The sequence below is a fragment of the Homo sapiens genome, chromosome 1, assembly GCF_000001405.40.
Source record: "Homo sapiens chromosome 1, GRCh38.p14 Primary Assembly".
NCBI lineage: Eukaryota > Metazoa > Chordata > Mammalia > Primates > Hominidae > Homo > Homo sapiens.
The window spans coordinates 147782321-147797192 of NC_000001.11; the positions used below are offsets into that span (position 1 = coordinate 147782321).

The following is a 14872-nucleotide window of genomic DNA, read 5'->3' on the forward strand; positions in this document are numbered from 1 at the left end:
CCCAAAAAAGATTAAAAGTCACTGTTCTAGGTATAGGAGGTCAAAAAAGATTATTTCACATCAACCTCCAAAGTAATTGAAACAACCACCAAAATGCCAATATGTTCTATCCCTTCCCCAACCTAGAAGCCTCTTATTGAACAGGTTGAAATCTGTTCCATAGGCATAAGGCCACTTCTCAGTTCAGAGTCTTCACCTGTCAAATATAAAAAGGTTTTCTGAGATAAGCATGCTTATTCCTTCCTTTCGTAACTTTCCCAAACTCAAACAGCTAGCCAAGACTGGCACCTCTCATCATGCCTAGTCCAGTATTCTTTCTGCCACCTCAGAAGGTTTTTAAGGATTTATTAAGCACCATTTCTAGATGGTCCTGAAATGGTCCCAAATACTACAGGAGCTATAGGATTACAGGAACTGTCCCTGAATGCAATACGTTTGTAAATGTGGTAGGTAAATGAGTGCATGCCCCTGAAATGAATTATTTCCTTAATGCCTTTCCCAACAGTGTGGACAAGGGAAGTGAGACTGGAGGAGTGCTGGGGGAGACATGAACCCTGGCATAACTGCCCCATCCCTGGACAACTCCAGCCAGCTTGACAATCAATGAGCAGTAATATTCAGTAACTAGGTGCCAATTTCTAAGACCCCTCCGATCTTGAAACCCCTTTGACTGTGTGCTGGGTTAACAAATAAAGCATAAGCCAAAAGACTTGTTCACCAGTTTGTAATCTACTACAAAATAATAGAGATTTTTCAAATAATTAGTGAATAAAGGGGAGGGGGCAAGTAAGCAGGTCTCCAAACTGAAAATAGTTGCATCCTAAAAGCTTCAATGTAAATTGGTGGTGTGGAATTTGGAGCATGTTTTCCCATAGAAATAATGTTATAAAGAGTAGTTAGCTTCCCAGGCTAGCCCATAAAAGCTTATTTCAGGCATAATGTTGCTCAACTACAGTGTTGAGAGTACTAGAGAAGCTAACAACCTAGTTAACATGGTCTCTGGATGGGAGAGAATGATGCCAAGTTCTGGCTGGGGACTCCAGGAATATATCTCCCTCTGAAGAGTTTCAGATTCAAGCGTCTCCACTCCATCCCTGCAATGAGGATGGCGTCTTCCTGTCTCCCTGTCTTCATGGGGAAGGGAAATAATATTTATTGATCACCTAACTTTATTAATGCAAGGACTGACCCACTCAGCATTGTCCCTTTCATAAACTAATATCCGAGACCAACCACAGAAAGAAAGCTTTATATTTTTCAAACTGTTCCAGTCTTTTCCTAATTAGAAAAAGTAATAGCGTATTATTGTAAAAATGTAGGTAATATAGAAGAGTCTAAACATGAGATAAAATCACATATAAGTACTATTAAAATACTGATAGCTTTCTACCACATTTTTGTACTTATAAATGTTTTTAAAAAATTGGAATTGTATTATGAACACTTTTTGGTAATCTGCTTTTTTTCACTTAACGATGTGTCAGAGACGTTTTCTATGTCAATAGAAATACATCTTCTTCACCTTTTTAATGATTATCAGGAGTGTAGTCAAAGAGAATGGCACCCAAAGGCAATGTAATGTGTTTGTATCTTTTCTTTCCATAAGGATGTTACCACTGCACTAGAATTATCAAGGACTAGTATCTGTGCAGTACTCTTTAGACTAATGTCAGGGTATATATATCACCTCCACCCTTTGCTAAGTACCTGGGTTACACAGTTTCCTGCTCTTGGATTTACCAAAATTCATTTAATGCCCTATTATTGAGCACTTCAATTTTGGGTGAATATAAATATCACCATATTGAATGTAAGTGGTGCCCTTTTAATTTCTAAGACAAAGCAACTTGCTGTTAACCCATTTCTTTCTCTGCCCCAAATAAGTTACTCCATGTAATTCTGAGCTGTCCTTTCAAAGCCTTGCAAACAGCTCATGGGAAAAAGCAGAATTTCTGAACAAAACAATTCAAAACAAAACAAAAAATACTAGCTTCCTCCATTCAACCAACCCCTTCTCTACCATACACATAAGACGCAAAAGGAAGTGTGCTGAGCGAGTGGTGAAACACTAGGGCAGATAAGAATAATCTTGACAGGTTCGGAGAAAACCCCTCATGAATCTTGGGAGAAGATTTCTATGGGTAAATGGGGTAAAGGTTCAAATCCTGAAGGGCTAAACCAAACTTTGCAAAAGCTCACCACCACCACAAGCCTGTTACCCCAGAACAGCCAGCTGTGCCTCATGCCTCCAATCCTGCTCTGGTTTCTGTGAATTCACACACAACCCTGGGATTGAAGTACCAGCTCTGCCTGTGGTGGGAAGGACGTGTGTAACTGACAAAAGCTGATGAGGCAGAGAGGGACCAGGGAAATGCAGGAATCAGGTCTCAGGTCCTATCTCTAACACTTAAAGAATTGAGTGCCCTTGGGTTAAGCTACATCAACTGTGCCTTCTACTTTTAAATTTTAATATCTCTATGATTCTAAGTAATTGGTTATCTCCATACCAAGCCAAAGCTTGGAAGAAGTTGAAATTTGTCTTAAGTGCCCAACTGTATTTACACTTGTAGCTCCTCCCTTTCTTTACCTATACAGCACTCTGGGGAGCATGAGAGATATTCTTAGGCCATTTTTTATTCCAGATGGTGCTGCGGTATTGAAAACTTAAGGGTATTCCAAATAAGGAAAATACAAATGAGCAACACTTGGAGGTGTGTTTCAATTAGGATGCTACCAGCCATCAGTAACAGAAACCCCAGCTGGAGTCAAACACACTGACCACTACACTGTGGGAATGCACAGAGGGTGTCAAAGTTAATGGATGGCCCACTTACAGCTGATCCATTTATTTATTCATTTATTCATGTATCCACTGATTTTAAAAACCCACTGAGTTTGGGACTGTGCTAGGAACTAGATATACTAGTGATTCAGACATGGCATCTGAATTAAGAAATCAAAACCTAGGGGTTTTATAAATATCAATGCTCCCTGACCCCTCTGAGAGCTGAGTGATGTCACCAACTTAGAATCCCACAAGACTAGCTGGAGACCTAGTTGGAATAAAAATGCTGCCTTGTTTTAGACCATCAAGTCTATGATAATACTGCGATTTCCAGGAATCTATCTGGATTGAGGGAGCTAGGCAATGCATGCTGACATGGCCTGTAAAAGGGATTGAGGTGGAGCTCTGATCGCAGGAGAGTATAGAATGGAAACCAGAAACTAGGAACCATGGACATCTGCATCTATTCACCCTCCATACAAGGGGGTGTAGGGAGTTCCCATTTACCTCCAGGTCTGGTTTATGAACTGTGGGCCTGCAAGCAGCCTAAACATGATTGTTGATGCTCCAGTGGACCTGAATAGGCAGGGACCATGACAGGTGGCTGCAAACAGATAATAGAGAGCTAACAGAGAATGCCAGGCAGTGGTCTAAGTGCTTAGCAGAGTTTGCTCATTTAACCCTTACAAAACTCTTGGAGATAAGAATTAGTATCCATATTTAACATAGGTAAAAAATCAAGAACAGAAACCTTATCCAAGCTGGTCAGTGGTAGATCTGGGATTTGAATCCAGGCAGTCTAGTTTCAACATCTGTGCACTTAACCACAAAATAAATTATATGACTATGTGAGAAGTGCTACAATAGAGCTACGATCAGAATGCTGTGGGAACTGAGAAAGGAATGAAAGTGCCAGGAAAGGCTCCGCATAGGAGACGACATTTGTGATATGTCTTGCAAAATAAGTAGAAGTTTCAGACAGAGAACTGGAAGTGGGAGAAGTACATCCCAGGCACCATGGGACAGATGGGCAATGGCATTTTGGAAGACTACAGAGTAGTTCTTTTGCAGGAGAGGTGAGCCCCAAATCTGGGGCCTTAGCTCAGGAAGGTTTTTGGTTTTGCTCCAGAAAGAATTCAAGAGTGAGCCAGTGGTAGAAGAAAATAGCTTTATGGAGGTGGCAGTGTTACAGCTCTGTGACGGCTCCTGCAGAACGGGGCTACCCCACAGGCAGTGCGCTGACAGCAGGAGCTCAGGGCAGTTCTACAGTCATATTTACACTCACTTTTAATTACATACAAATTAAGGGGCAGGTTATTTAAGAGATTTTTAGAAAGGGGGTGAAACTTCTGGGTCATTGCCATGGAAAGAGGCAGTAACTTCTGGGTATCGCCATGGCAATGGTAAACTATTAAGGCACTGGTGGACATGTCTTATGGAGCAGTGCTTCCCGTGCCTCTTCCCTGTTTTAGCCAGTCTTTGATCTGGTCCAGAGTCAAGTTCTGCCTAACTCAATTCTACACAGCTGGACCAAAAAGGATGGGGGAGTTTGGTTTCCAAAGAATCCTGAGTTTGGGGCCAGATTGTTAAGAACTTTGTAAACCACATTAATTTGTTCTGCAGGCAGCAGGGAGCCAAGTAAGGGGATGAGTCTGAATCCTCCTACGGTTTTCAGGGATTTCCAGGATGGTTCCTCAGTATGCGTGTCCTGGATCACACCCAGTGCTAAGTAAAATCATTTCTCTGGCCACTTGTTTCTTGCTTTTAGTCTCTTCAGCATTGCAGGTAGAGCCCAGGGCTGGGTAACTTTACTCCTACTGACTTGGAAAGTGAAGGATGCATAGTTGCTCAAAGGCAGAGCATGGCAGGGCACTCTACCAGTGTTCCACCTCAGAATCTTGGACCATTCTTTCACCTGGGAGCCCTGAATTCAAGAAAATCCAAATGGAGACCAGCAAAAAAAGGGAATGCTGTTTTATGGAGATTTTTAAACCAAGGCTGAGGGGCCATTTTCAAGGGATGCTGACTCAGTAAACGTTCTTTGGCAGCAAGCATCAGAAAACAACTGTAACTACTTTAAGCTGAAAAAGAAAAGGAAGAGAAAGAAGTGAAGAGAGGGATGAGGAGGACAGGAACAAAAAGGGGAAGAAAGGTGAAGAGATTTCCTTAAAGTCTCTGCAAGAATCTGTTAAGAATAAGCCCCCAGTTAGAAGCTCCCTTGGGCTTCAAAAACATTAGAATGAATAGATATAACTTGACTCTCCCTAAGACATGATTCTTCCGATTTATCAGTCTATTATCTTTCTCTCCAGGACACACCTGCAGCCTTACAAAACAATGAGTCTTTCATTAAGCTGTGGCTCTTCATCCAAAAGTTCCCCTACTTATAAGCAGAAAGTCTATAAGTCCAAGGGCTCTCAGGGCACCTGCTTTTAAGTGTCTGTGGTGACCATTGAGAAGGGGGCCACTGGAGGCCCTGCGGCCTCAAGGGCAAACCGATATAGTCACAGGAATAATCAAACAGCAGCAGAAGGCTTCAGAACAAGCACATCACAAAAAACACTGAACTCAACTCCAATGGAAGTTGCGTCACTTGGTGGCTGTGTGATTCTGGGCAAGTCCCTTAATGTCTCCAAGCCTTAATGTTCTCATGTATAAAAAGGGTGCCCCTTTTTGTAAAAAGGCTTTCTGACTGTGACAAATTCATTAAAATATTGTGATGAACAAATGTGTTCCAAGCTGCAATGTGCCAGGCAAGTGATGTTATTATCAACTAGACTCTTGCTCTCCATGCAGTGAAGCCTCTTCCTATGAGTGGAAATTATTCAGCCTTGTCACTGGCATGTCAACAACCAGACACAGCTTAGCACAGAGTCATGCCATAGGTCTGGGGCAGGACAAGCCAAGTGCAGGAAATGTGTCTGGTCAGCTTCTGCACAACCCTGGATGGAACGGGCCAGGGGAAGGGGAAATGGTTTGCCCCCTGCATTCTGCCCGTATGCCTTCCTGTGCCATCCTCCAGACCCCAGGCTCTACCCTCAGGCCTGGGCAGTGGGATAGGCTCCAAGAGTCTGGAGTGTCTAGGGCTGGGTGAGTTGGGTAAACTTTAACACAAAGCCTTATAAAATGCTTGTTTGTATTTCACTTTTAGTAAACTAAAGAGGCAGGAAAGTTGAAGACAGGTTTGGATCTTTCCAAGAAGGGCTTGGCCTCACAGGGAAGAGGTCTCCAGATGGGTCAGGGGGAAGCAGGGCATATCGAGCCTGGGGGAAAGAGGGATATGAATATGGCATCTCGGTTTTCAAAAAGTTGGCATGAAAAGGAAGATTTGACTTATTCTGGGCAGCTCAGAAGGATGGAACTGGGATCTGAGTGAGGACGGGGAGGAAGAGGGCTCACATTAACTTACTCTTATCAGGCACTGTTCTTTACAAATGTTATGACATGTAATCCTCACAACAATACCATGAAGTGGTTACTATTATTATCCTCTGTTTTACAGATGAGGAAACCAAGGCACAGAGGTTAAACAACGTGTCCAAGCCACGTAGCAAGTAAACAATTGAGCCAGGCTCCAAATCCAAACGTTCTGGCGTCAGAGTCCTATAAAGATTTTTTTGGCCTAATGTGAGGAAGTACTTTCTAAGAATAAGAGTTTACCAATTAAAAGGGGGTTGCTGTTTTATGAAGATATTTAAACCAAGGCTGAGGGGCCATTTTCAAGGGATGCTGACTCGGTAAAAGTTCTTTGGCAGCAAGCATCAGAAACCAAATGTAACAACTTTAAGCTAAAAAATAAAAAGAAGGAAGAGGAAGAAGAGAAGATGGGGTTGAGGGAGGAGGACAGGAAAAAAAAGGAGAAGAAAGGTGAAGAGGAAAGTGAGGAGGAGGAAGAGGCAAAAAAAGGGGCATTTGTTGGAAGTGGGGTGCAGAAAAAATAAACAGCTGAAGATTCAAATTCAAGAAGGACCAGAAACAAGGACTGCCCTAGGATCCAGGGAGCAGGAACTGATTAACCGTTTCTTTAGGGCACAATTACCCAAATAAATCAGCTCTAATGGATTTCTGTCTTTTTGCCATTCTGCTTAAGATTCAAGTTCCAGGGAAAGAACATTCCCTTGGCCTAGCCTTGGGAAAGATCGACAATAAAAATCGCTAATATTTATGGTGTTTATTCTCTACCAGCCACTGTTCTAAGCACCACATCTGCATGTATTTTCTTCTCACAGACACCCTATGAGATAGCTACTATTATAGCTAAGAAACTGAGACAGAGAATGTTAGCTGTCATTCAACGTGAGGCAGTGTGGTTGCCACCATGTTTGCTCTAATATCAAAATGGAAAGGATAGGCTCCCTAAGACAAAATGTTGATGTTGATGAAGAAGGGGAATGGATGCTAAGAGATAAAACCCACAGATGCTCTCTCAGGGCTTGGTCTTGCTAGAAGGGAAAGAGAGGACTCCCGAGGTGTCTTCTGACCCAGGAATTCTACATTCTAGTTTCCATCCTAACCCTCTTGGTTATTGCAAGGAGAAGATGAAACAAAGCAAGGAGGCCGGGTGTGGTGGCTCACACCTATAATCCCAGTACTTTGGGAGGCTGAGGCAGGCAGATTGCTTGAGTCCAGGAGTTCGAGATTAGCCTGGGCAACATGGTGAAACCCCACCTCTACCAAAAGTAAAATTAAAAAAAAATAGCTGAGCATGGTGGCATGTGCCTGTGGTCCCAGCTACTCAGGAGGCTAAGGTGAGAGGATTGCTTGAGCCCCGGAGGTGGAGGTTGCAGTGAACCGAGATTGCACTAATGCACTCCAGCCTGGGCAAGAGTGAGACCCTGTCTCAAAAAGAAAAAAAGCAAGGAGCAAAAAGACAACAGAAAAGATATAACAAAGGACTGAGTGCAACAGAAACATAGGAGAACAAATAGTTCCTGAACAGGATACAACCAAATGACAAAATTCTGAGAGAAAAAAAAATGCCTATCAAAGTATAACTTGAAAGACAACAAAGAAAAGATTCCAAGTCCTATAAAAGTTTGAGAATGAAATAAAATGAAGAAAAGCAGAGAGGCCAATTTCTCACAAATAGTGAAAACCTGATGTGAAACTCTACTACAAGAGGTTGCACTCCATCATGATTCACAATGAAAGTTTGGAGTCAGGCTGCCAGAATTAAATCCTGCCTCCAGCACCTCCAGCTGTGTCACTTTGAAAGCATTACATGACCTGTCTGTGCCTCGGTCTCGTCTGTAAGATTTTAATAATGCCTAATTATTAAATTAACAATTTAATAGTTATTAATAATTGTTAGTAGTGTCAGAGGAGTGTTGAAAGGGTAAAGTCTTAAGCACAGTGCCTGGCACATAGCAAGTGCTTACTAAACGTTAGCCACGCGGCCACTGTATGTGAGCTCCTACAAGCCCAACATGGTCTTGGGACAGGCCGACAGGTTGAGTGCCTGGAAGAAACCCCTCTTGGGGAATCATAAGCAGAGACCCCCGAAAAGCAGAGACCTGGTTTCTGCATGGGAGGTCAGGAAAGCGGCACCACCAACAGATGCGGGTCCTTAGCAGAGAGATGAGCAGGTGAGGAGAGGAAAAGCCTCCCAGGAGTTGAGAGTCTGGATAGTGGAATGCCAGAAATGAAGCTCTGGAAAAACATTCTACTTAAAATATAATTGTAAGAACTCCTCTTTGTAGGGCTCTCGGAGAAACCCTCTGAAATCTCCAAGGAGTTGGAGAACCGGACCCTGGGTTTGCAATCAAGAGCTCTGTGTTCTGGCTTCTGCTGATGCTAGTAGGCTCTGGGTCCTTTCAGGGTCTCAACTTCCTTGTCTGAAAAAGTGGGCATAATGGTATCTACCTCAAATGATTGAAGTGAAGATTAAATGAGGAATGTCTGTAAAACACCTGGAACATAGGGGCTACTGAATAAATGATAACTTTCCTTACACTCTCACTCACTGTTACAAAACAACAATGCATAGAACAGGGTGTCCCTGGAGCCAGAAGAATAAAGTAAGTGCATGCTTGTTGAATTCATCAACTTCCAGAATGCCCCATGTGTTCTAGTGAATCCATATCTGATATAGTTTGGATGTTTGGCCCCTCTAAATCTCATGTTGAAATGTAATTCCTAATGTCAGAGGTGGGGCCTGGTTGGGAGGTGTTTAAATCATGGGGTTGAATCCCTCATGAATGGCTTGGTGCCATCCTTGTGGTATTGAGTGAGTTCTCACTTTATGAGTTCAAATGAGATCCGGCTCTTTAAAAGAGCCTGGAATGGGCCAGACACAGTGGCTCACACCTGTAATCCCAGCATTTTGGGAGGCCGAGGTGGGTGGGTCACGAGGTCAGGAGTTCGAGACTAGCTGGACCAACATGGTGAAACCCCGGTCCTACTAAAAATACAAAAATTAGCCAGGCATGGTGGCACATGCCTGTAATCTCAGCTACTCAGGAGGCTGAGGCAGGAAAATTGCTTGAACCCAGGAGGCAGAGGTTGCAGTAAGCTGAGATCATGCCATTGCACTCCAGCCTAGGGGACAGAGTGAGACTCCATCTGAGAAAAGAAAAAGAGCCTGGAACTTCCTCCTCTCTCTTTTGCTCTTTCTCTCTTGCCATGTAACACACAGGTTCCACTTTGCCTTCCACCATGGTTGTCAGTTGCCTGAGGCTCTCACCAGAAGTAGATGCCAGCACTATGCTTCATGTCCAACCTGCAGAACTGTGAGCCAAACAAACCTCTTTTCTTTATAAATTACCCAGCATCACATATTCCTTTAGAGCAATGCAAACAGACTAACAGTGTCCTTAGCCATTCTCACAATCTGGAATGATCTCTCCACTCCATTCCATCCTACCTTGATCTATTCCCTATCTAGCAAACATCTTTTATCTTTCAAGGCCAAGCTCAAATATCATGTCCTCAAGGAACTGAGGAACTTCCTCAGCATGTGACTTGTTCTTCAGTTTTGCACTGATTCCCCTGTACTTTGTGTTGTAATTAGTTCTTGTAGACAGAGAGAATGTCTGACTCAACTTGGTGTTAGTCTAGGCTGCATTGCACATTCTTTTGCGGCATTTTACTTGTATGGGGTTATGGGCAGCAGCATATCCCTGAATTCACATCTCCATCTGAATTAACACTTAGTCCCTCCATTTAGGCCTCAATCAATACTCCCCAAGAAAGAAGGAGGGGATTATCTAGTTTGGAAACCTGGGTACAAGGACTAAGCATGCAGGGCCGACTTACCCATGAAGAACAGTAGCTAGAGTCCACAATACTTTTAAAGGCCCGCACACACACAAAAGCATTCAATTTCTTTTGAAATCAGTAGAAAAAATAAAATTTTAGGTCAAGCAAAATGTTTTAACATATAATATTAATATATTTATCTTTATGCCAATGCACATATAATTTTTAATATTTTTCATGGAAGAATGAGCCCATGAAACCAACAGTGCCTATGACCCACCAAAGTCACACAGCTCTGTGGGCATAAGTAGCTCATCCTTTTCTCCCCTTCCTCCTAGGGAGCTGCCTGCCTAGAGGAAACAGGGAGCCTTTAGCCTGCTCCTCCAGGCTCAACATTTGACAGGGGCATGACCATGTCCAGCATTGCTGAGTAACTGGGAAGAGAAGCCCACTGTTGCTGCACACCCTACGCCAAGCCTTCAAACAGTCCCAGCAGTAATCAAGGTGATATACTGACTTTTTTCTGACTGGCTCCTGTGTCTATCTCTCTCATTTTTTCTAACTTAGGCAAAGAATGGGAAAGTCATTTATCAGGCCCCCCGAAATCATATTGTTGATCCTCTAAATGACCTTATCAAGTACGTACAATCTTTATTTGACAGATGAAGACACTGATGAACAGAAAGGTTAAAGAATTTACTCAAGGTCAGTCATCCAACAAATGAGTTTAGAACCCAAACTTTTGGACCCCAAGTTAAAGCTCTTTCTCCGACTGCACTATAAAGTAGGGGCTCAATAAACGTGTGTTGAAATGAATCAAAACGGTGAGAGAATATTGCCAGGCAGCACAAAGCTTGGATGAAATTTTTCAAAATTTTTGCTGGTGATTTTAAGCTTCAGATGAAGTCTTTGACATTTACGATTCTCTTAATAAACACTTTATAAAACTCCAAATCCACGTTTCTGCCTTGAAGGATCACCATCAGTTGGAATATATTTTTACGCTATCCTCTGCCATCTTTGAAGGAGGAACAGATTAGGGAAAAAATGCTTTATTTACCAGTGTAATTAGAATGAAAATATAATGTTTAACTTTCATGGAGACAGACTGAAATATGAATAGTCATGTAGTTTTTTGAAATTAAATTTCTATTCTAGGAGGCCAACACTCTACTCTCTCTGGCTTTCAAACTTCCACATTAAGACTTGGGAAGTAAAAATGCTTTGGGAATGAAACTGGATGAATGGACATGTTTGTGCCAGTATTCTGGGGGGACTCTTTTTCCTCTCAAAATCCCAGTAGATCACTGGTCACGTTTAGAATCTTCAAATATGTGCTAAAAAAATGTTTTGGGGAGAAAACAATCTCCCACTCTCCTTGCCGAGATGGAATTCCAAGATTGTTGGGCAAGATGAAGTAAACGATTTTCAGGAGAATCGCTGTTTTCCACACTGAATTGACATGCATTTCTGCCTCACCTGGTTCCTACACACACCAGCCCCAACTAATGTTAGGCTTTGAATCACTGAAATGCCTGCCACACCTTAACAGCAAAGATTCAGACAAGATATTGAGTAAGCAAGTTTATGAATTTTTTTAAAGAGAATGATTTCTTAGTTAGACTTGTGTTCAACAAAATATTCTAGCATGTGGTTTCACAAATACAGGTGAACCATCTGGCCAGCCTAGGTTAGCTCTCTGCTGTCAGTGCTGTAAATCTTGCATTCTCTTTCACTCATGTTTCACACATGGAATTAACTCTTCTTTGTCCTCCTGTCCTGTTATACAATAGAAGCTCCAAGTCTTATTCACAACTTTGAGTCTAGTGTGTGGCTGTATAGAACAGAGATTAAGAGCATGGGTTCAAGGGTACGATGGACCTGGATTTGAATTCAACCGAGCAACTTTTTGTGTGACTTAGAGGTAGTCACACCACATTACTCAGTTTTCTCATCTGTAAATTGATAATAGTTCTTACCTCATAGAACTATTGTGAAAATTAAATTCACTCACATATGTAAAGCATTTAGCTTGCCCCGGCAGTAAATATTCACTACTATTATTGCATTAAGTGCTAAAAGAGTATTTCAAGTAGAATTTTTAAAATAAGAGTGAGCCTAGGCACAGGGAATGCATCAAACTGGCCTCATTAGGGAGAATTCTCCAGCCAACTGGGATATTGCCTGACTGGGTTCTGGGAGGTCCTCAACTGAGACCACAAGGGGCAAATGAGCAGATCATAAGCAGCCCTGGAGGCACCAGCTCTTAAGGTGTTAGCCCTCATCTCCCCAGAGCAGTGGGAACTGAGTTACTCTGAGACTCTGTTCCCAAGAAGAAAGTGATTCAGAGCAAAGGAGACAAGTTCCACTGTGGAGGAAGTGTGCCCAGGTCCCTCACCGGCCCCGGACATGCCGTCTGGGAGGCTATCAGCTCAGAGCCCACACCAGCTTCCTCTGCTATTGTTCAGCACTCACCATTCTTCTGATAACCCGGCTGTGGGAACCACTGCCCAGACGCCGGGCCAACACAGAGGCACGACTACAGCTGGGAAGAGTCTCTCCTTCACATGACGACTGAGCTCTGTAGGGGGTTGTGATGGAGAAGACTGAGACGGGGCAATCTAAGGCCCAAACGTGGCCCAGTGTTAAGCATATTGAGAAACCCAATACCAATCTGGTGAATTGAATAGTTTTGCAAAACTAAGGAAAATTAACAGTCTCCACAAAAAAGTGTTTATCCAAGTGTTAAAGTACTTAATTGTTCTCAAAAAACCAAATTGTCCCCATTCTGAACATTTTTTTGAACTTTCTCAATTGCAGTTAGTCTTCTGGGACATTGAAGAAGGCCTAGAACTCAATCAAGGAACAAAAATATCTAAGCATTGTATTTAAAAAACATGTGTTAGAGGTTTATTACCTTAGGAGATTTTTAAATATCATTTATCTGTTAAATTTAGTTGTTGCATCAGACATTTTGCTCATTTTTCCCTTTAATAATTATATCTTTATACCACTATCTGAATTTGTGTCTTTACTCTTTTTCACCTTGAAAAGGGCTTTTTCTTTTGATTATATAAATAATAGATACTCAGTGTAAAAAAAGTTCAACCATAACAAAAACATGAAGAAAGTTAAAAAATCACCTAAAATGCCACTACCCTGATATAATCACCATTTGCTTTCAGCGACTGTATCTATGTAATCCACATATCTAGATCTATGTTCATACAGACATATACACACGTGTGACTTTTTATAGAAGCTGTGCATTTTAAAAATTATGAACGCTTTTTTCAGTGCAGTGTTCTAGATATTTCTGACACAAGGATCCAGGAAATAGGTTGGTATCTGATCTGTATCTTAGATTTATCTACCTATATATAACTAGATATACAGTATAATAAAATATCTATAAGTAGATAGATATTTATATGGCCAGCTATATACAACTACCTAAATAGAGATCAGCTTATACAATGTGTGTATTTTTATTTGACATTCTAGTATGAATTCTTAAATTATCAACCAATCATTATGTGCATATGATAAATATGACACATTTGTTCCTTCAAAAGTTTAACATATTATTTGTGATTTGTTATTTTGAAGGTTAACCTGGCATATGTCACAAGGCATGTGGTGGCTATGGCATCTGTCAGAACCTAAGATCAGGAGACCTTAACGATGATCAGGTTCTAAACCTATGAGGGTGTTTGAAATTCAAAATCCTGAGACTGCCCACAGCTAAAAGTAAATCAGAACCCAAGACACACTCAAAAAAATGTCAACTCTGAAAGGAACTTGGTGACCACCTGCTCCAAATCACTCATTTTAGAGATGATGACAGTGGAATCCAGTGAGGCGGATGATGTGTCTAGAGTCCCAGAGCAATCGGTGGCTGAATGTATACTAAAATCTGCTTTCCCAAATCATCATGCCACCTCTTTCCATCAGATTTTGTTTCCTATTACATGTCACCTAAGCCAGAGCCATTTTCCCTTTTTCCAAATCACAATTGATCAGAGACAGCTGGCATCTGTCTAATTCGGACATTTTCAGAAATTGAGTTAAACGGGCCAGGTGCGGTGGCTCATGCCTGTAATCCCAGCACTTTGGAAGGCCGAGGTGGGCAGAGCACAAGGTCAGGAGATTGAGACCATCCTGGCTAACACGGTGAAACCCCGTCTCTACTAAAAAAAAAAAAATACAAAAAATTAGCTGGGCATGGTGGCGGGCTCCTGTAGTCCCAGCTACTTGGGAGGCTGAGGCAGGAGAATGGTGTGAACCCAGGAAGCAGAGCTTTTAGTGAGCCAAGATTGCACCATTGCCCTCCAGCCTGGGTGACAGAACGACACTCTGTCGCAAAAAAAAAAAAAAAGAAAAAAGAAAAAAGAAATTGAGTCAAACATAGAAATAGGGAAAGCAGAGTCCCTGAGAATTCAGACTGCATTATATCTAGGAAGATAGAGCAGAAGGAATAGTAATAATAATTATTATTATAGCAAGTGCGTTTAGCACTTACTACATTTCAAACAGTATTCTACTACTTTATGTATATATGCTACTTTACACGTATATATAAATTTATGTAAGTGATATGTATGTATATGTCATTTGACCCTCACAGCAGCTCAATGAAATAACTACCATTATTATCCCCTCTTTCCAGGGGAGGAAACTGAGGCACACAGAAGTTACGTGACTTCCCAGGATTATATAACTAGTGAGTAACAGAGCCAGCATTATAGAGTCAGCACTCCAGCCCCAGAGTCCAGCCTCTGGACCAATATACCACATACTGTCTCACAGAAGGAGGAACTCGGACAAATTATAGTAATGCTGCTGAAACCTCAGAAGCAACATCAACATCATTGAGATAATTAACCGAAC

General features: G+C 41.9%; 1 long non-coding RNA gene across 1 annotated transcript in view; it reads left to right on the forward strand.

The window, feature by feature from the left end:
- LOC102723321 (uncharacterized) overlaps positions 1-7370 on the forward strand; it is an 88963-nt gene extending 81593 nt beyond the window's left edge. Inside the window, exon 3 of the long non-coding RNA XR_922079.4 lies at positions 6288-7370. This is a non-coding gene — a long non-coding RNA (uncharacterized LOC102723321). The remainder of the gene's footprint in view (positions 1-6287) is intronic.
- Positions 7371-14872: the final 7502 nt, after the last annotated feature.